General features: G+C 40.8%; 1 protein-coding gene across 8 annotated transcripts in view; it reads right to left on the bottom strand.

Annotated features, from left to right (window-relative positions):
• MTAP (methylthioadenosine phosphorylase) overlaps positions 1-22,029 on the bottom strand; it is a 138,480-nt gene that overhangs the window by 84,471 nt on the left and 31,980 nt on the right. For all 8 annotated transcript variants that reach the window (NR_173242.1, NM_001396044.1, NM_001396043.1 and 5 more), the window contains exons 5-6: positions 18,635-18,737; positions 1,775-2,014 (exon numbers count right to left, since the gene is read on the bottom strand). Coding sequence is in view for 7 of the 8 variants with exons in the window: in NM_001396044.1 (NP_001382973.1) it covers positions 1,775-2,014; positions 18,635-18,737 (343 nt within the window). In the remaining variant the exon portion in view is untranslated. The remainder of the gene's footprint in view (positions 1-1,774; positions 2,015-18,634; positions 18,738-22,029) is intronic.

Raw genomic sequence — 22,029 nt, 5'->3', positions numbered from 1 at the left:
TCATTTGGCTACTAAAGGAAATCACTGCTGGTTCTACAAAGGAGGAGACATATGTTATTAGACTGAGCAGAAAGCCACAGGCAGGAAGCAAACCGCTCTCAGGGTGTGGCAGGGGCTGGAGTTTCCTATTAATTGGAAGCAGCTTCTTGACATTACGAGGCTGAGTTGTTCCTTAGGTTACCAAAGCTGCCAAATAAGATATTATGTTGTGACTTAATGTAATAATTTGCGAATCTCTTACATAAAAGGCATCCTAGTACTAAGCAAACAGTTTATTACACTGAAGAGTCATCATAAGGAATTCATGAAAAACAAAGAACCTGTGTTCATCTATGACCCAAAACACTGTACACATTAGATAGTAAAACAAACTCTCTAAAACGGTGGTACAATATTAGGCCTCTTTGGAGATGTCACTTACCCTAAATGTGCTCAGAAAGTCACCCCTAAATGTTTTCCTTACTTCAAAAGTGACTGCAGTTTTGTCGTCCCTTTATCTTAAAATGAGATAAATGACAGGACGAACGATCTAGTTTATTCAAGTAACACAAGGAATAAAAAGAGAAAGAGGTGAAAATTAGATTAAAAGAGACAAGAGGTAATCATTAAAATACAACATATGGATTGTAAGGGATTCTGATTTGATCAAATTGTTAAAAATTATGAGACTGAAGGAAAAAGGAATAGTCTGAATATTTGATTATATTAAGAAATTAATATCATTATTTTTGTACAATGATGGCATGGTTATAACTTAATTTTAAAAAGACCTTTTAGGAAAATATTTACTTCACAATGAGGGCAGGGGAGAAATAGGTAGGGACATACCTATCACACAAGATTGGCCATGGCTAATTGTGGAACCTAAGTGATGGGTACCTGGAATTCATTATATTCCACCCTGTACTTACACAGATGTTTAAAGTTTTGTTTTGTTTTGTTTTGGAAGCTGACCTCATTGTTCCAGTGTCCTCAAATTCCAGCTGGATCCTGCTGCCTTCCCTGCCTGAACCCCTCACTGTCCTTCCATCTGAAACCCTTACCATGGTCTGTATGGCCTGGCCCTACTGTATTGCATCCCTCCTCTCTCTCCCTTCTCCCCAGTCTCCCTCCTTTCCACTCTACTCAATCATGCCCTTCTTGCCCATCACACTTAAAACAGGAAGGCTTCTCATACTTCAAATATTTGGTCTGGTCAACTCTATTCAGTTGACCTAGTGTACCCTTGTACCTCACCATTCTATTTCTTTATAACCGTTAGCTTTCTTATATTGGTTTGCTTAACTTCTATCTCCATCCGACAGAATGTCGGCTCCTTAAGGACTTCTCTGTTTGTTGTCACATTTCTATGCTGAACAGAGTATCCAGCCACGGTACGTTAAATAGATGGATGTGAACATACAGCCCTCTCATGAGGAAAGGGTTAATAGATTTTTTTCCTTCTTGAAAACAAAAAACAGTAGCATAGCAGCAGAAATTGGCAATCAAAATACACCTTTATCCTGAAAATAAGGCCCAAGTCTTAGTATGATTCTCAACACATCTACCTGCCTACAATGTACTATTTTCACTACTGATCCTTGGGTAAAAGTGTCTCTTTCTTTCCTTTGATCTTTGTTCTTACCTTCCAATGGAACTACAGAAAATATTAACAACTTCAAAACCTTGTAGAAAGGCACTTTCTGAAACTAACGTAATAGAAACAAACAGTTAAGACACCCTATTGGCACCCAGAAACCCATGCTATATGTGCTTAGAAAAGAATTCCACCTACTGCTTCCTCGTGCTCCTTCCAGCAGTCATAATCTGTCGCCATGGCGATACTTGCGTAACAAATTCCAGCCTCCTTAGCAAGAACCACCTCTGGAACTGTGGTCATGTTGATAACATCCGCCCCCCAGGTGCGGAACATGAAGCTTTCTGCCCGGGAGCTAAAACGAGGTCCCTCGATTGTGACCATTGTCCCCTTTGAGTGGCACCGGAGTCCTAGCTTCTTAGCAGTCTCTATAAGAACCTAGAAAAGAAAAACCAGAAACTTCAAAACATACTAGCACATGCACAACTTAAGGCTGCACTTCCCCCCAATGTTTACCAAGTTGATTTCTTAAAGATGATTTGTCACTATAATAAATGCCTACTATCTGCCAGGCTCTCAGAAAAAACCTAGAGGACCACAGAAGGGTGTTTCCTGGACCCTTTCTCATTCACATAATCCTGTTTCCCCAGCCCTTTGCATGTAGAAACTAATAGCTACACAAGCAAGCACTGAGCTCTTTCTACTCGCCAGGCATTTGTTTATATGCTTTAATCTCATTTGCTTCTTAACAACTTTAAGAGACTAAGCTGGTTTGAGAATACAGACTGGAGTCTTAACTTTTAACCTCGCAGGCTAAGCTAAGGTGCCTCTCGTCGCTTATCTTCTCAAACAGGTGTGTTGAGTTCTATTTCCAGGCTTCTGAAAAGTTAATTCTCATTACTTTTAAAAATACAGAATCTGAAGACTTCTGTAAAAGCTTTTGCTGGTTAGAAAGTGATTTCTCTTTTGCCTATTGCCTTTCCACAGAGTTGTGCTGATTGTTTTTCTGTTCACAGGGATAAACATCTTGGAATTCCTTTAGTGGCAAGGCTAGGCATGGATTTTTAGAAACATCATTGAAAAGTTCGATCCTTTTCTCCAGTGTTTTATTTAATACTGCACATCTAATCTTCAAGTTATTAATTACCTTCATTTTTTCTTAGCTTATTCAATATTCCCTTTTAATTAAAAAAAAGTCTTTTCAACTTAACTGTTAACTTACTGAAGCACTGTTGAAAAATCATCTCTGTATGCCTTAGTTTTCTCAAGTGTAAATTGAGAATAATGATATCGCATAATTCAATTGTATGAGGAAGATTAAATGAACTAAGGTATATACAAGCATAGAAGCATGCCAGGTGCGCTGTAAACACTGTATGCACTAAGCTGGTCTTCTAACAATCATTAATACTGGCAGCTTCTACACATATTTGGCTAACCTTCCTGGGATACTATATAAATAAAGTGGAGTGACTCAAAGTCAAAGTCTCCAATCTGGGCAAAGTCTCACCTGCACATGTGTTCATCACATAAACAAATTAACCTATTTCCTTAAAAAATAACTTACACTATGCCACTGCAATGGGAAACAGAATTTTCACAAGAGTCTTGGCAACTCAAAATTTAGCAAGCTATGGACAATGAACAGTTGATGCTACATCATGTTTATCTTATAAATGCTGAAAATAAAATTATGCTTAATTAACACTTTTCCCTAAAAAGTATATGTTATAAATGCAAAAGCCTAAATCTCTACCCCACCCCCTTTTCCCCCCTAAAGTTAAGACATAACAAGCCCACTCCCGCTGGTTCAATAATGTCTTTAAAGATCCTGAATAACTGAACCATATGCTTGGCTAAAGTTCACAGTGCTTCTAGAGATGAATGGCTCTTGACAAGTCCTCACTGTCACTCTGGCACTTTGGGAGATAGGTACCATGCTTATGAGGAGGAGGAAGAAATGGAGGCTATGAATATATGTCAGCCACCTGAACCAGCATTTTGCATTCCTTCAAGAACAGCTAACACTATCTTAAGGCAGCAAAAAATATCAAATACAGGGTCAAGGTCCAGGTCTGAGTTTAAGATGATTTCATTTTCTTACCTCGTGTAATCACTGAACTACTAAACAGACGGATGTGGTAGTGAAAGTACCACAACCCTCACCAAGGAACTAGCAATATTAGATCACCAGCCTAAACAGATTTAATGTCAGGACTTTCATATTAACTCCTAAAATGAATAGAAGTAACACTGCTTTTGGAACACGTATTTGTACATGGTACAAAACTTAAATAGTACAAGGAAAACCACTGTCCCTTCCCAAGGGAAACCATTATTACCAGGCTTTTTTTTTTTTTTCATTTCAATAGTTTTTGGGGAGCAAGTGGTTTATTGTGATGTATATAAGTTCTTTAGTAGTGATTTCTGGGATTCTGATGCACCTGTCACCCAAGAAATGTACACTATACCCAATGTGTAGTCTTTTATCCCTGATTCTCCTCTCCCACTTCCCCCAGAGGCCCCAAAGTCCATTACATCATTTTTTTTTTTTTTTTTGAGATGGAGTCTCACTCTGTCGCCCACGCTGGAATGCATTAGTGCGATCTTGGCTCACTGCAACCTCTGCCTCACGGGTTCAAGCAGTTCTCTGGCTCAGCCTCCTGATTAGCTGGGATTACAGGCACCCGCCACCACGGCCAGCTAATTCTTTTCTTTGTATTTTAGTAGAGACCCCTTTCACCATCTTGGCCAGGCTGGTCTTGAACTCCTGACCTTGTGATCCACCCACCTCGGCCTCCCAAAGTGCTGGGATTATAGGCATGAGCCACTGCGCCCGGCCCTATTATATCATTCTTATGCCTTTGCATCCCCATAGCTTAGCTCCCACTTACAAATGAGGACATAACGATATTTAGTTTTCCATTCCCGAGTTACTTCACTGAGAATAATGGTCTCCAACTCCATCCAGGTTGCTGCAAATGCCATCATTTTGTTCTTTTTTATGGCTAAGTAGTATTCCATTGTATTAGTCAGAGTTCTCTAGAGGGACATAACTAATAAAGGGGAGTTTATTAAGTATTAACTCACATGATCACAAGGTCCCACAATGGGCCATCTGCAGGCTGAGGAGCAAGGAGAGACAGTCCAAGTTCCAAAACTGAAGAACTTGGAGTTTGATGTTGGAGGGCAGGAAGCATCCAGCATGGGAGAAAGATGTAGACTGGGGGACTAGGCTAGTCTCTCTTTTAACAATTTTCTGCCTGCTTATATCCTAGCCATGCTGGCAGCTGATTAGATTGTACCCACCCAGATTAAGGCTAGGTCAGCCTTTCCCAGCCCACTGACTCAAATGTCAATCTCCTTTGGCAACACCCTCACAGACACACCCAGGATCAATACTTTGTATCCTTCAATCCAATCAAGTTAACACTCAGTGTTAACCATCACAAGTCCACATGAATCCATACACATCTCCTGAGATCATACATAATCTTCAAATAAAGACAATAATAAGGTCATAATTACACGTAACATAATACAGCTATCCTTTGTGCAACTGGAAATGCACCAAACACCAACCCAAATACTACTACATAAAGTTAGCAATACTTAAATGTTGATGTGAAGTCAATAAATCTCATGTCATATGATAAAGGAGAAAGAAAATACAATGAAGATATTTTCTTAGTACAACTGTATATATGCACAAACATGTTTTTAACAAAAGGAGGAGGAAATACTCATGACAATTACAGTCCTCATTTCTGTAGCTGGTCACATGGTTGTAGCTGGTATCGATGACTACCTTCTTCTACTACCCATTCTGTATTCCCTTTGCCTTTATCAAGGACCTCAGTAGGTTGTGGTTTTTTCCTTGTGGAGTGACTGAAATCTTCATTCCTGAAGAGTCTGGGTCATTTGTAGTCCTGCCTGGATTGGGCTGTTGTAGTTTCCCAATGACCTTAATTACAGGGCATGGTAATACTAAGAGACACCCTAATGGATCTCCTGTATTCCATGTGTACTCTTCTTTACTTCCATTGTGGAGTAGTAGACTGATTTCATCTTGATAGTCTGGGTCAATCACCCCAGCCAGCACTGTAACTCCCTTCTTAGCCTGTTGACTTAAAGGCAGGAGGAGCCCAAAGTGTCCAGGTGGCAAGGATGGAGGCCATGCACGGGCACAGCAAAGTGCCTTCAGGACCTGCTTGAGCCCAGTCATATATATACCATTTCCATTTGATAACTGAATGCTGCTGTGCACAACCCACTTTATGGCTAGATGAGTCAGAAAGCCCCCAGTTCATGATAGGCAGTTCAGGTCGCATGGTGACTTGATGACCCATAGTCAAAAGTTCACTTTCCACCAAAGTCCAGTAACAGGCCAAGGACAGTCTCTCGAAAGGAGAATAGTTATCTGCAGAAGATGGCAGGACCTTGCTCCAAAATCCTAGAGGGCTCCACTGTAATTCACCTATGGGGGCCTGCCAAAGGCTCCAAACAGCATCCTTATCTGCCACTGACACCTCAAGGACCATTGGATTTGCTGGGTCATATGGCCCAAATGGCACAGCAGTTTGCACAGCAGCCTGGAACTGTTGCAGAGCCTTCTCCTGTTCTGGACCCACTCAAAATTGGCACCCTTTTGGGTCACTCAATAGATGGGCCAGAGTAACACACTCAAATGAAGAATGTGTTGCCTCCAAAATCCAAATAGGCTCACTAGGCATTGTGCCTCTTTCTTGGTTGCAGGAGAGGACAAATGCAGCAACTTATCCTTCACCTTAGAAGGAGTATCTCCACAGGCCCCACACCACTGGACCCCCTAGAAATTTTACTGAGGTAGAAGGTCCCTGAATTTTAGTCAGATTTATTTCTCATCCTCTGGCATGCAAATGCCTCACCAATAAGTCTGGTGTGTTTGCCACTTCTTGCTCACTGGATCCAATCAGCGTACTGTCATCAATGTAATGGACCATTGTGATATCTTGTGGGAGCAAAAAGCGATCAAGTTCTCTCTGAATAAGATTATGACACAAAACTGAAGAGTTGATATACCCTTGAGGTAGGACAGTCAAGGTATACTGCTGGCCTTGCCAGCTGAAGGCAAATTGCTTCTGGTGGTCCTTATGGACAGATATAGAGAAAAAGGCATTTTCCAAGTCAATGGCTGCATACCAGGTACCAGGAGATGTGTTAATTTGCTCAAGCAATGAAATCACATCTGGTACAACAGCTGCAATTGGAGTCACCACTTGGTTCAGCTTATTGTAATCCACTGTCATTCTCCCCAAGACCCATCTGTCTTCTGTATGGGCCAAATGGGAGAGATAAATGGGGATGTGGTAGGAATCACCATCCCTGCGTCTTTCAAGTCTTTAATGGTGGTACTAATCTCTGCAATCCCTCCAGGGATGTGGTATTGTTTTTGCTTTACTATTTTTCTAGGTAGAGGCAGCTCGAATGGCTTCCATCTGGCCTTTCCCACTGTAATAGCCATCACTTTACCAGTCAGGGAGCCAGTGTGGGGGTTCTGCCAGCTGCTAAGTATGTCTATGCCAGTTATGCATTCTGGCACTGGGGAAATGACCACAGGATGAGTCCAGGCACCCATAAGACCCACTGCACGTCAGACCTGAGCTAAAACTCCATTAATTACCTGACTTTCATAAGCCCCTACTTTAACTGGAGGACCACATGACAGTTTGGGTTCCCTGGAATCAACATCAGCTCAGAGCCAGTGTCCAGTAGTCCCTGAAATGTCTGATTATTTCCCTTTCCCCAGTGCACAGTTACCCTGGTAAAAGGTCGGAGGTCTCCTTGGGGAAGGACGGGAGAAAGATTCACAGCATAAATTGTTGGTAATATAGTGGGGTCCTTCCTCAACGGGACCTGGCCTCCCCTTCATTCAAGGGGTTCTGGGTCTGTAAACTAGCTCAAGTCTGGAAATTGGTTGAGGGGCTGTGAGTCTGTTTTTATAATTCAAATTAGTTTTTTGTCCATTTGACCTAGAAGTTTCTGCTTATGTAAATTAAGTAGGAATGCAGTAGGCCTCCTATGAATTTTACTTCTAGGAATGCTGTGATTAATTAGCCAGTGCCAGAGCTTTACACGAGTCAGACTGTTCTGATTGCCGCTTTGCCTCTGCTGCCCATTATGGTAGCTATGCCCACCTTGCCTTTGACAGCTGAGTGCCGCCATGGCCCCTGCTGCCTTGGAATCCAATTATTCCCACTGTATTTAAGTTTTGTAGTTGAGTGACTGCGGTTCCCACAGTTAGATCTGACATTACCACAGTTAGATCTGACATACAGAGAAGAGCAATTACAGGGCTCTTCAAAGATCCCAGTGCTGCCCTCACATATCTGTTTTGCAAGGCATTGGTCAAGGGCATATTTTCTGGACCAGCAGGGATAAATAGGTCTAAAGTGACTAATCTACTCCACCATCTGAATTTCCATAAGCCTTTGGATCCCCTCCTCTAAATTAAACCAAGGGAGATCAGGCATTTCCAGCTTGTTCACAGTGGGCCACCTTTTAATCCATATTTCAGCAAACCAAGCAAGTAAATAATTAGAACCTTTTTTAACTCCCAGAGCTGCAACATTAAATGCAGAATCCCTACTTAGTGGGCCCAAATCAATAAATTCAGCCTGATCCAACTCCATTTTCCTTCCACCATTATCCCACACCCTTAGTATCCATTCCCATGCCTGTTCTCCAGATTTCTGTTTATATAAATCAGAAAACTCAAGCGGTTCTTTTTGAGTGTAGCACACCACCTCATGGGTCACAATCTCAACCTCACCTCTAGGGGCCTGCTGGAACTTCAGTCCAGTTATAGGTCTAGAAGCAAATGGGAGTCTTAGGGGTGGCTCCTGAGAAGAATCAACATTATCTTGCCTGGCAACTGCCTCAGGGGAGGCCATCACTGTTGCCTCAGGCCGCACAGGGTTTATCTCCTCAGACAAAGGTGAAAAGGCTGATGGCAGCATAGGTCAGGGAGGGGATGCTGCCACTTCTGGGGATGGGAAAGCTGTTTCTTCTGGTAAATAAGGTTCATCAGAGTTTTCAAACTCAGTGTCCCCAGCTTCATCAGGGTCCTCCCACACATCCCAGTTCCAAGTTGCAGGGTCCCATTTATTTTCAATCAATGCTCTCACTTTAACAGTAGACACCTGGCGAGGCTGTGCATGTACCTTTCATTGCAGGTCAGCCACTCACATGATAAGAGCTTGTGTCTGTTTTTCCACAATTTCAGCTCTTTCTCTACAGGAGATAAGTCTTTCATTCAGAACAATCTTAGCAGATCTGAGGCTCAGTATCTGCTGCTGGAGCTGGGAGATACAATCCCTGAGTTCATTATTTTCTTTCATCACTTTGTCCACTGAACTTAGGAGCAACCAACCAGCTTCATTATGTTCCCTGGTCCTCCATATATGGTCAAAGGTATTATGTACAGAGTCACTAAGGGTGATTCCACATATGGTCAAAGGTATTATGTAGAGTCCTTGCCTCTCACGAGTGATGAATCAGGAGTCTCAAATATATTTATTTTGCATAACTCTCTAAACAGTTCAAGTCAAGGACTATTGGTGTTATCCATATTATTAGAAGTAGAGTCCTTAGCATCTTTGGGTCTAATCATATTAAGCAGTCAACTCCAGAAACCTCATACCAATAAAAGAACTCCATCCTTAATATTCTGTTCCTCTAGAACCACTCCTGGTACCAAAATCTGTATTAGTCAGGGTTCTCTAGAGGGACAGAACTAATGGGACAGATAGATAAATGGGAGTTTATTAAGTATTAACTCACATTATCACAAGGTCCCACAATAGGCCGTCTGCAGGCTGAGGAGCAAGGAGAGCCAGTCAGAGTTCCAAAAATGAAGAACTTGCAGTCTGATGTTTGAGGGCAGGAAGTATCCAGCACGGGAGAAAGATGTACGCTGGGAGGCTAGGCCAGTCTCTCTTTTCACATTTTTCTGCCTGCTTATATTCTAGCCATGCTGGCAGCTGATTAGACTGTGCCCACCCACATTAAGGGTGGGTCTGCCTTTCCCAGCCCACTGACTCAATGTTAATCTCCTTTGGCAACACCCTCACAGACACACCCAGGATCAATACTCTGTATCCTTCAATCCAATCAAGTTTACACTCAGTATTAACCATCACACCCATGCTGTATATATACCATATTTTCTTTATTCACTCATTGGTCAACGGGCATTTAGGTTGGTTCCATAGTTTTTACAATTGTAAGTTGTGCTGCTATAAACATGCATGTGCAAGTGTCTTTTTCATATAATGACTTATTTTCCTCTGGGTAGACGCATAGGAGTGGGATTGCTGGATCACATGGTAGTTCTACTTTTAGTTCTGTAAGGAATCTCTATATGGCTTTCCATTGTACTAGTTTACATTCACACCAGCAGTGTAAAAGTGTTCCCTTTACACCACATCTACACCAATATCTATTATTTTTTGATGTTTAAATTATGGCCATTCTTGCAGGAGTAAGGTGGTATCGCATTGTGGTTTTAATTTGCATTTCCTGGATTAGTAATTTTGAGCATTTTTTCATGTGTGTTGGCCATGTGTTTTGAAAATTGTCTATTCATGTACTTAGCGACCTTTTTTTTTTTTCTTGCTGATTTGTTTCAGTTCCCTGTAGATTCTGGATATTGGTCCTCTATTGAATGCATAGTTTGCGAATATTTTCTCCCTTTCTGCGGGTGGTCATTTATTCCACTGATTATTATTTTTTGTTGTTGTGCTGAAGCATTTTAGATGAATTAAGCTGCATCTATTTGTCTTAGTTTTTGTTGCATTTGCTTTTGGGTTGTTGATCATGAACTCTTTGCCTAAGCCAAGGCCTAGATAGGTTTTTCCGATGTTATTTTCTAGAATTTTTATGGTTTCAGGTCTTAGATTTAAGTCTTTGATGCATCTTGCATTGATTTTTATATGAGAGATGAAGATCCAGTTTCATTCTTCTACATCTGGCTTGCCAATTATCCTGCAACATTTGTTAAATAGGGTGTCCTTTCCTCAGTGTATGTTTTTGTTTTGCTTTTTCAAAGATCAGTTGGCTGTAAATATTTGGCTTTATTTCTGGATACTCTATTCTGTTCCACTGGTCTGCATGCCTACTTTTATACCAGTACCATGCTGTTTTGATAACTATAGCCTTGTAGTATAGTTTGATGTCAGGTAATGTGATACCTCCAGATTGTTCTTTTTGCTTAGTCTTGCTTTGGCTATATGGGCTCTTTTTTTGGTCTCACATAAATTTTAGGATTTTTTTTTTTATATTTCTGTGAACAATGATGGTGGTATTCTGAAGGAAACTGCATTGAATTTGTGGATTGCTTTTGGCAGAAATATGATACTTTTATATTTCTGTGAAGAATGATGGTGGTACTCTGAAGGAAACTGCATTGAATTTGTGGATTGCTTTTTGGCAGATTGCTTTTGTAAGAATTCTTAACAATATTAATTCTGCCCATCCCTGAGCATGGTATGTTTCCATTTTTTTGTATTATCTATAATTTCTTTCAGCAGTGTTCTGTAGTTCTCCTTGTAGAGATCTTTCATGTCCTTGGTTAGGCATTTTACTTTTTTTTTCCTGCAACTGTTGTAAAGCAGGTTGAGTTCTTGATTTGATTCTCAGCTTGGTTGCTGTTGGTCTATAAAAGTGCTATTGATTTGAGTATATTGATTTTGCATCTTGAAACTTTGCTGAATTCATTTATCTAGGAGCTTTTTGGATGAGTCTTTAGGGTTTTCTAGGTATACGATCATATCATTGGTGAACAGCAACAGTTTGACTTCCTCTTTACTGATTTTTTACCCTTTATTTCTTTCTCTTGTCTGATTGCTCTGGCTAGGACATCCTGTATTATGTTGAACAGAAGTGGTGAAAGTGGGAATCTTGTCTTGTTTCAGTTCTCAGAGGGAATGCTTTCAACTTTTCCCTGTTCAATATAACACTGGCTGTGGGTTTGTCATAGATGGCTTTTTTTTTTTTTTTGAGACGGAGTCTCGCTCTGTTGCCCAGGCTGGAGTGCAGTGGCGTGATCTCAGCTCACTGCAAGCTCCACCTCCCGGGTTCACGCCATTCACTGCCTCGGCCTCCCGAGTAGCTGGGACTACAGGCGCCCGCTACCATGCCCGGCTAATTTTTTTGTATTTTTAGTAGAGATGGGGTTTCACCGTGTTAGCCAGGATGGTCTCGATCTGACCTTGTGATCCGCCCGCCTTGGCCTCCCAAAGTGCTGGGATTACAGGTGTGAGCCACCGTGCCCAGCCCATAGATGGCTTTTATTACCTTGAGGTACGTCCCTTCTATGCCAATTTTGCTGAGGGTTTTAATTATAACTAGATGGAGGATTGTGTCAAATGCTTTTTCTGCATCTATTGAGATGACCATGTGATTTTTGTTTTAAATTATGTTTATGTGATGTATCACATTTATTGACTTGCCTATGTTAAACCATCCCTTCATCACTGGTATGAAACCCACTTGACCATGGTGTATTATCTTTTTCATATGCTGTTGGATTTGGTTAGCTAGTAATTTGTTGAGGATTTTTGCATCTACGTACATCAGGGATATTGGTCTGTAGTTGTCTTTTTTTATTATGTTCTTTTCTGATTTTGTAATTAGGGGGATACTGGCTTCACAGAATGAATTAGGAAGGATTCCTGCTTTCTCTGTCTTTTGGAATAGTTTCAGTAAGATTGGTACCAGTTCTTTGAATGTCTGATAGAATTCAGCTGTGAATCCCTCTGGTCTTGGATGTTTTCTTTGTTGGCAATTTTTTAAAATTACTGTTTCAATCTTCCTACTTGTTATTGGTCTGTTTAGGGTTTCCATTTCTTCCTGATTTAATTGGGGAGGGTGGTATATTTCCAAGAATTTACTCATCTCCTCTAGATTTTCTAGTTTGTGTGCATAAAGGTGTTCATAGTAGCCTTGAATAGTCTTTTGTATTCTGTGGTATTGGTTGTAATATCTCCTGTTTCATTTCTCATTGAGCTTATTTGGATCTTTTCTCTTCTTGGTTAATTTCACTAATGGTCTATCAATTTTAAATTTTCAAATATTTTTGTTTCATTTATCTTTTGTATTTTTTTGTTTCAATTTCATTTAGTTCTGCTCTGATCTCTGCTGTTTCTTTTCTTCTGCTAGGTTTGGGTTTGCTTTGTTCTTGTTTTTCTAGTTCCTTGAAGTGTGACCTTAGATTGTTGATTTGTCCTCCTTCAGACTTTTTGATGTAGGAATTTAATGCTATGAACTTTCCCATTAGCACCACTTTTTCTGTATCCCAGAGGTTTTGATAAGTTGTGTCACTATAATCATTCAGCTCAAAGAATATTTTAATTTCCATCTTGACTTTACTGTTGACCTAAAGATCATTCAGGAGCAGATTATTTCATTTCCAAGTATTTGTATAGTTTTGAGGATTCTTCTTGGAGTTAATTTCCAATTTTATTCCACTTTGATCTGAGAGAGTACTTGATATAATTTTGATTTTCAAATTTGTTGAGACTTGTTTTGTGGCATATGTTCTATTTTGGAGAATGTTCCATGTGCTGATGAAAAGAATGTATATTCTGCAGTTGTTGGGTATATATATTTGTTAAGTCCATTTGTTCTAGGTTATAGTTTAAGTCCATTGTTTCCTTGTTGACTTTCTGTCTTGAGGACCTGTCTAGTGCCGTCAGTGGAGTACTTAAGTGCCCCACTATTATTGTGTTACCATCTATGTCATTTCTTAGGCCTATTAGTAATTGTTTGATATATTTGGGAGCTCAAGTGTTAAGTGCATATATATTTAGAAATGTGATACTTTCCTGTTGGACTACTCCTTTTATCATTATATAATGTCCCTCTTTGCTTTAACTGTTGTTGTTTTAAAGTCTGTTCTTTTCTGATATAAAACTAGCTCCTCCTAATTGCTTTTGGTTTCCATTTGCATGGAATATCTTTTTCCACCCTTTTACCTTAAGTTTTTGTGAGTTCATGTGTGCTAGGTGATTCTCCTGAAGACTGCAGATACTTAGTTGGTAGATTTTTATCCATTCTGCCATTGCGTATCTTTTCTTAAGTGGGGCATTTAGGTCATTTACATTCGACATCAGTATTGGGATGTGAGGTACTGTTCTATTCATCATGCTAGCTTTTGCCTAAAGACGTTGTTCTTTCACCATTGTATTATTGTTTTATAGGTCTTGTGAGATTTACGCTTTAATGAGGTTCTATTTTGGTGTATTTTGAGGTTTTGTTTCAAGATTTAGAACTCCTTTAAGCATTTCTTGTAGTGTTGGCTCAATAGTGGCAAATTCTCTCAGCATTTGTTTGTCTGAAAAAGACTATCTCTCCTTCAATTATGAAGCTTAGTTTTACTGGATACAAAATTCTTGGCTGAGAATAATTTTGTTTCAAGAGGTTAAAAATGGGACTCCAATCCCTTCTGGCTTCTGGCTTGTAAGATTTCTGCTGAGAAGTCTGCTATTAATCTGATAGGTTTTCCTTTATAGGTTATCTGATGTTTTTGTCTCACAGTTCTTAAGATTCTTTCATCTTGACTTTAGATAGCCTGATAAATATGTGCCTAGCTGATCATCTTTTTGCAATAAATTTCCCAGGTGTTCTTTGAGCTTCTTGTATTTGGATGTCTAGATCTGTAGCAAGGCCAGCAAAGTTTTCCTCAAATAAGTTTTCCAAACTTTCAGATTTCTCTTCTTCTGCAGGAACACCAATTATTCTTAGGTTTGGCCATTTAACATAAACCCAAATTTCTTTTAAAATTTCATTTTAAAATTCTTTTTCTTTGTCTTGATTCAGTTAATTCAAGAGCCTTGTCTTCAAGCTCTGAAGTTCTTTCTTCTACTTGTTCTAGCCTATTGTTGAAGCTTTCCACTACATTTTGTATTTCTCTAAGTGTGTCTTTCATTTCCTGAAGCTGTGATTTATTTTTTCTTTATGATATTTCTCTGCAGAAGTTTTCATCCATATCCTGTATTGTTTTTTAAAATTTCTTTATGCTGGTTTTTACCTTTCTCTGCTATTTCCTTGAGTAGCTTAATAACCAATCTTCTGAATTCCTTATCTGGCAATTCAGAGATTTCCTCTTGGTTTGGATCCATTGCTAGGGAGCTGGTGTGATCTTTTGGGGGTGTTACAGAACCCCATTTTGTCATATTACCAGAATTGCTTTTCTGGTTCCTTGTCATTTTGGTAGACTATTTTAGTGGAGAGGTTGAAACTCAAGGCCTGCTGTTCAGATTTTCTTGTCTCATGGGGTGATCCCTTGATGTGGTGCTCTCCCCTTTCCCCTAGGGATGGGGCTTCCTGAGAGCTGGACTGCAGTGACTGTTATTGCTCTTCTGGGTCTAGCCACCCATTGAGGCCACCAGGCTCTGGGCTGTTGCTGGGGGATGTCTGCAATGAGTACTGCGATGTGATCCATCTTCAGGTCTCCAAGCTGTGGCTACTAGCACCTGCTCTGGTAGATGTGGCAGGGAAGTGAAGTAAACTCTGCAAGAGTCATTGGTTGTAGATATGTTTAATGTGCTGGCTCTCTTGAATGCTGCTTATGCTAGCAGTGAAGTTGTCATGTGGACATATTCAGGATCTCTGGTTAGCCAGGATGTTGCAGGCAGTGAAATTAGGTGTTGTCTTTTCCGTCCTGGGATCAGGGTTATTGTTTTATGAGTTGCTGTAATGGCCTCAGTTGACTGGCCTCCAGCCAGGAGGTGGCACTTTCAAGAGAGCACCAGCTGCAGAAGGAGTAGGGGGCTCTAAGCTTGCCCTAAGATGCCCAAGGTAACTATTTTGGTTTCCCAGGCAATAGGCAGGGCAATAAATATTTTGTGTTTGGCTACCAGGGTGGGTAGGGAAATACCATCAGGTTGGGGCAGGGTTAGGTGGTTCTGGGCTCAGACTCTTCTTGGGCAGGGCTTGCTGCAGACACTGTGGGAAATTGGGGGATGGGGGTGGTTTGTCAGGCCACTGGGTTTATGTTCCAGAGGAGATCTTGACTGCCTCTGCTGTATCATAAACTTTACCAGGGTAGTGGGGGAGAGCCAGCAGCAAGAGGCCTCATCCAGCTACTATGCAGTTGGTGAGGCTAGTCTCACTCCTGCAGTGCCCTGCTCAGACCTTGCCCCAGGCTGTGAGCTACCCCACTGGGAAAGCAAGCATGGCCTTTGGACCTCACCCCTTCCCACCTGCCCACTCCATCAGCAGCAGCTCCTGTACTCACTTGTATCTGCTGCGGCTCCCATTAGTCCCTTGGACTCTGCCTGAGAAAATTTGTGACCAGCTGAAACCACTACTGATTTCATTTGGGAGCTTCCTTCGCCCTGCCATCACTCTCCAATTCCACTGGCTGCCTTACCTGAGGGCCACTGTGAGATATAGTCAGGGCTGGCTTCCCTGGACTCAAGCTGGAGACTGGGAGTACATCCAAAGCACTTCCTGTTGCTACTTCTACTTTCATATTTCACATAACCCCCTAAATCCGTTTCACCTCTAGGTAAGGTTAAATTCTTCCTCCATGATCTGGATTTTTAGATTTCCCCAGTGGGGATGTGTATTCAGAGGTAGGTTCTCCCCGACTCACACTTTGGGAACTCAGTTTCTTGCCTGTTTTGCAGAATTTGCAGTGGTGTGCCACTTCTTTCAAAGGATCTTTGAATTCTTTTGGTTTTCCCGGTAAGTTCCTACAGTGGTTCTTGGAACAAAAGATCATAGTGTCTCCATATGCTATTCTGTCCGTCCTTGTGGAAGCTGCACGTTAGCCCTGTCTTTTCTTTACTTTTTTTTTTTTTTGACATGGAGTCTCTGTCACCCAGGCTGGAGTGCAGTGGCACAATCTTGGCTCACTGCAAGCTCTGCCTCCCAGGTTCAAGCGATTCTCCTGCCTCAGCCTCCCAAGTAGCTGGGACTATAGGTGCCTGCCACCATGCCTGGCTAACTTTTCGTATTTTTAGTAGAGACAGGGTTTCACCATGTTAGCCAGAATGTTCTTGATCTCCTGACCTCATGATCCGCCTGCCTTGGCCTTCCAAAGTGCTGGGATTACAGGCGTGAGCCACCGTGGTGGCCAGCCCTGTCTCTTATCTGCCATCTTCCCTGTTTCCTGTTACCAGCTTTTTTTGTTAACTTTCCAAAAATATTTTATTTGTATATAAATATTTACATACTTACTTCTTTGTATATATACATACTTTAACATAAATGGTAGAATATGGTACAACCACTGAGTATCTTGCTTGCCACTTGACAATTCATCATGACAGTCCTATTCCATCAGTACATGAAAGATCATGTGGATGTTAAAAGTGAAAATTACCAAGTGGCAGCACTATTTACTCTTCATGTTTTTGGATAATATTTAAAAATTTCTTTCTGAATGCTTATTTTGCCATTTTCTTAAATTGCCTTTCCCAGTATTCTCTCAGTCTTTATGAAGCTGAATTAATTTGGCTTCAAGGGAGGCTAACTTGGATTACTGGAAATTATCACCACAGACCCACATTTACATGTGCTCTATACAGCTCCATTGTGCTTTCCCCATCTACCTCTACTCCTAGTTCCCCAAGTCACTGTATTTTGCCTGAGAACTGACCTCAGATTCATACGAGCATGCATATTCTCTCCTTAGACTATTTCTTCCCAAGCTGCCCCCATTTTGAAGTGGACAAGAATTTTATCCATACTTCATTTCCCCCAGGATAGCAAATCTATTATGTGGACAGATCTGTGCTTCAGAGGAAGACTAGCAGCATTCTGATACATTCTGTGGATAACTATCCAGAAACATGCTATACATACATATACAAACTTCGCCTGCCACTTTTTTAAAAAAAAAAAAAAACCAAGTAAAAGACGTACTTTCCTAGAAGTCAGAGAAAATCAATGCGCAGTGGTATCTCCGAAATGGCTTCCCTCAGTACTCGGTTTTAGATTCCAAATTCTTGTTTGAGACTAGAAATATTTCTCCCAACCCTGTGTCCTCAGTTTAGGTGCCCTTGCTGTTAACTATAAGGAAATGGGTTTTCTGTGATTATGTAGGATAAAACATAAATGCTAAAAGAAATCATCTACTCTCTATATGCAGGTGTTAACATTATCTGAATAACTAACGTGTTTAGGTATTTATATTCTCTAAGTTAACTCATAAGGGAGATTTTATGAAGCAGTTAATCTCTAACGATACTTCTGATCTTTTGAGTTGCACCTGACTTTCAAACCTGGGATTATAAGAGAAGTAGCACATGTGGACCAAGCCATAGGCTTCTTAGTCATGGTAGCCATTTTTGTTGCTTGGGAACTAAAACTGTGATTCCACCCCTTATACCACCACTGGCCCTTGTGGGGCTGTCCCCATAGTTCTGTGATTTGGCTATAATGGTAGACAGAAGGCTGGGCAGTAATGGCCAAACTCAGGTCAAAGGCAACAGCTGCCAATCTGACCATTTTTAGAAGATCAATAATAGTAATTTAATTCACAAAAGCAGTTACCAGCCATTGGATGTTCCATAACTGACAGGCATGGTTCAGAGACTTCATTAAGTATTAACTCTCTCATCCCTCACACAGTCTTATAAGGTACATGCTATAATTATCTTCATTTTAGAAGTAAGATAACTGAAACCCACATATGTCAAATAATTTGTCCTCTTGGACACAGCTACTTTGTTGAAGAGCAGAGATTTGATCCTAAGTAATCTGGCTCCAGACTGCATACTCTTGAGTAATGTGATATTCTATGTTAAATCATTTTATCTAGATAGCAAAATCAAAACTTATTAAAAAGGTAGGTTGCAACTTTGAGTGGTTCAGCTTAAAATGACTGAGAGTAACAGAGGAACAGGAAATTATTAGCAACAGGAAATAACTCTTCATAAAACTTTGCATAATACAAAGCAAACTTGAGTGAGGGTATGGGGCCACTCGCTCTGCCAATTAACCAAATGCCAGATGCCACCCCAAGCCCACATGATTTATTCTGGTACACCTTCCAGAAAGACTACACACCTCTCTCGTTTTGGGGCAAAACGGCTCAGCCATTGGAATATGGCACACTCCTCTGGCACAAGAATGACTTCCATCATAGAAGGACTGAGGTCTCATAGTGGTCCTACAAAATAAAGCAAAAAAGGTTTTTGTTTGTTTTATTTTAAGGCCATCTTTCCATCCTCCGAGGGCTGGTGAGTCAACTTTATCTAGGTCAATATTTGGGTCTTTACTCCAGACTCAATTCCTCTGGATAAGCTAAAGACAATTGTTTACAAAAGCTTCAGGGTGGTATTCCGCTTTTTTGGCTCTGGGCTGGCAGCAACACACCGCACAACAAGAATTAAAGTGTCTGTGGTCTGGCAGCCGTGACGGGGTAACCACTTTGGATTGCAGGTGCAACTCAACTGTGGGCTCAGAAAGGCCAGGTAAGACACTTAAGAAGTCAATACAAAAATGTTTCATCATCACAGACGTGGAAAATCATATACTTAACACCATATACACATCACCCAGATTCAACAATTTCTTAAATTGTGTCCAACTTGCTTCCTCTATTAGCTTTTTCACAAACACAAATCCCAGGCTTTGACTCAGAGCAGATGCAAATTTCCCCAATGTCTTAAAAAAATTTGTTTTTAAACAGTTGCTTTGTTAGTTTCAGGGTCCAAACAAGGTACTTACCTTGCATTTAATTCCCATGTCTCTAAGAGTAATTCCTGCCTGTAACCCCAACTATATTTTTTCATGCCAGTGACCCACTGAAATAAAGAGCCACTTGTCTTGCTCCATATTTAGGAATCTTTGTTCGCTGCCTCATTTAGATTGTTCTTTTTCCCAGCCGTAATTAATTCTAAAGTGTCTTAGTTCAAGTCTTCTGACAAAACAGTTTTGAATCCATAAGAGAGGCTAAAATTAATCTAGCACCAAGTCACCTGGAAATTTCTTGTCAGAAGTTTTCAGAACAAGCCACTTTCTCTGTGCATTCAATTATTCTAAATTTGAACTGATGAGTAACACAGGGAGGAGGGGACAGCATGGGAGAGATGGGTCAAGGGAAGCCAACAGGGGCAGGTAGATAACATGATGTCCTCTTCCAGGGGTGGGAGGCAGCACTGAGAAATAGTTTCACTGGTTCCGTTTACACAGCTGGCAAGTCTACTGGCCAAAATTAACCTGTTACTTCTAGTTCATCACACACTAAACAGTGGCATTAGCTGGCACCAAGGCCACCTCACTCAGAAATAAGGCCTCAGCGCTCTGGAGGAACAAAAACCCCATCCGAGCTCCTCCCAACCCACTGTCATATGCGCTTTAGGGGAAATGCTAAGTTAACCCCAAAGCAATTCCAGATGGAGTTGAAGAACAGGTCAAATGACTGTTTCAGCCTGTATAAACAGAGGCTTTTCTCTTTTTGAAAGATTAACCAATAAAACGGTGACACGTACTCAACTTCAGCTCTGGCTTTGTTTCAGCCTTTGATGAGTCAAGCATTAGCAACATCCCACTTATAACTATGATATGAACAGGGCCACAAAAGCCTCCAGTGGCTATACTCCAACTGACTTCCACACCATAACACCCGCATTTCATCTACCTCTGCCCATCTCCTGTCTATCCCCACCCATTTGCCTTGGAACCCCCGCCTTTGTTTTGAACTTTTTAACCTTAAGAATAACATGTATTTAAGTTAAGCTTCATGCAACGTTAATATGCACCTGATAATTATTAACTACAGTCTTAATTTCCTCTCATGCATTTTTCTTTCTCAACAAAGCTCCCTAACTACTAGCTATGTGGACTTAAACCAAATTGCCATATCTTTTTGATTCTTCATTTTCCAATCATAAAACATAGTATTCATCCACCTATTTACAAGGATGTTAGGAAGATTAAGTCAACCAAGATGCCCAGATAACTCATAGCAGCTCACAAGTGTGGGTCTGGGCTAGAGACAGAATTGGAGTCGGCACCAGATGGGGCCTCACAACACTCAACCTTGTAAGGTGCAAGCAAAGAGGGTAGCCCTGGGGGAGAAGCAAGGGCTTAAAACCATTTTTGGGCTATACTATCAAGATACCAGAAGGGAAGGTGCAGACGAGAAACACCTCTTATAGTTTGCCCAGCTATTTGTAGTTTTCTGCGTCATCAACTTAACTGTCAATACATTCAGTATTGAAACATTTAATGATCTAAACTTAAATTCCTATAAACAGCAATACACCTGCACAGCATAACAGGATGTGTCATTGTTAATGCTGAATGAAATTCTGACCAAGAGCAATGAGGTTTACAATCACAGCTGAGGGGAGTGGATGATGCCCTCAAAAGAAATTCCAGAATGAAATGTGTATAATTTTAATAGCACCAGTCCTCCTTCTGAAGGTCTCTATCAGATAAATCAGAAGTTTTATAACTCAGCAAGAAGCCTGGAATAAGCCTGCCGATCACACCCCACAAAGTGGGGACTGTTGCCCAATTAAGCCTGCCTGTTCACTTCCAAGTTCTAGCCAAAACAGCTATATTGAAATCATATTTCAATATAGAAATATGATTCTATATTAAGAATCATATTTCTCCCTCATGCTGAATTTTCTGAGTGACATGGAGAAAACACAGGAAATATAGTTTTGTCCCTGGATTCGAATGAATTTTTGTGTGGTCTTGGGCAAATTACTCAGCTTCTTTAAGTTCTTTCTTCGTGAGGTATTAGCAACATCCCTACTGCTATGGTCTGAAGTTTTGTGTCCTCCCAAAATTCCTATGCTGAAATCCAAACTCACAAGATGTGATGGTATTAGGAGATGGAGCCTTTTGGAGGTGATTAGGCAGATCTCTCATGATTGGGATCAGACCCCTTATAAAAGAGATCCCAGAGAGCTAGGTCGCCCTTCTACCACCATGTAAGGACACAATAAGAAGGTGCTATCTGTGAGAAAGTAGGTTCTCACCAGACACCAAATCTGCTGGCAACTTTTTTTGGACTTCCCAGCCTCCAGGACTGTGAGAAATTTCTGTTGCTTAGAAGCTACCCAGTCTATGGTATTCCGTTGTATCAACCTGAACAGACTAAGACACACATATACACCCTTGCTTAAATATAAAAACAAGGCTGCAAAAACCTCCAGTGGCTACCTCCCAATAGACTGCGATGCAATAACATCTCCATTTTAGATTTCAAATAATGGCCCCTCCGAAGATGTCCACATGCTAACCCTTAGAACCTATGAATATATTACTTTAGATGGCAAAGGGGAACTAAGAGAGCAAATGGAATTAAGGTTGCTAACAAGCTGACTTTAAAATAGAAAGGTTATTCTGGATTAACTAGGTGTGCGGCATGTCTTCACATGAGTCCTCACATGTGGAAGACGGAGGCAGAAGAGTCAATGTCAGCATGATGAGAGGTGAGGACT

The sequence above is a fragment of the Homo sapiens genome, chromosome 9 (assembly GCF_000001405.40).
Source record: "Homo sapiens chromosome 9, GRCh38.p14 Primary Assembly".
NCBI classification, from domain to species: Eukaryota; Metazoa; Chordata; class Mammalia; order Primates; family Hominidae; genus Homo; species Homo sapiens.
This window is presented reverse-complemented; position numbering and strand designations above follow the sequence as displayed.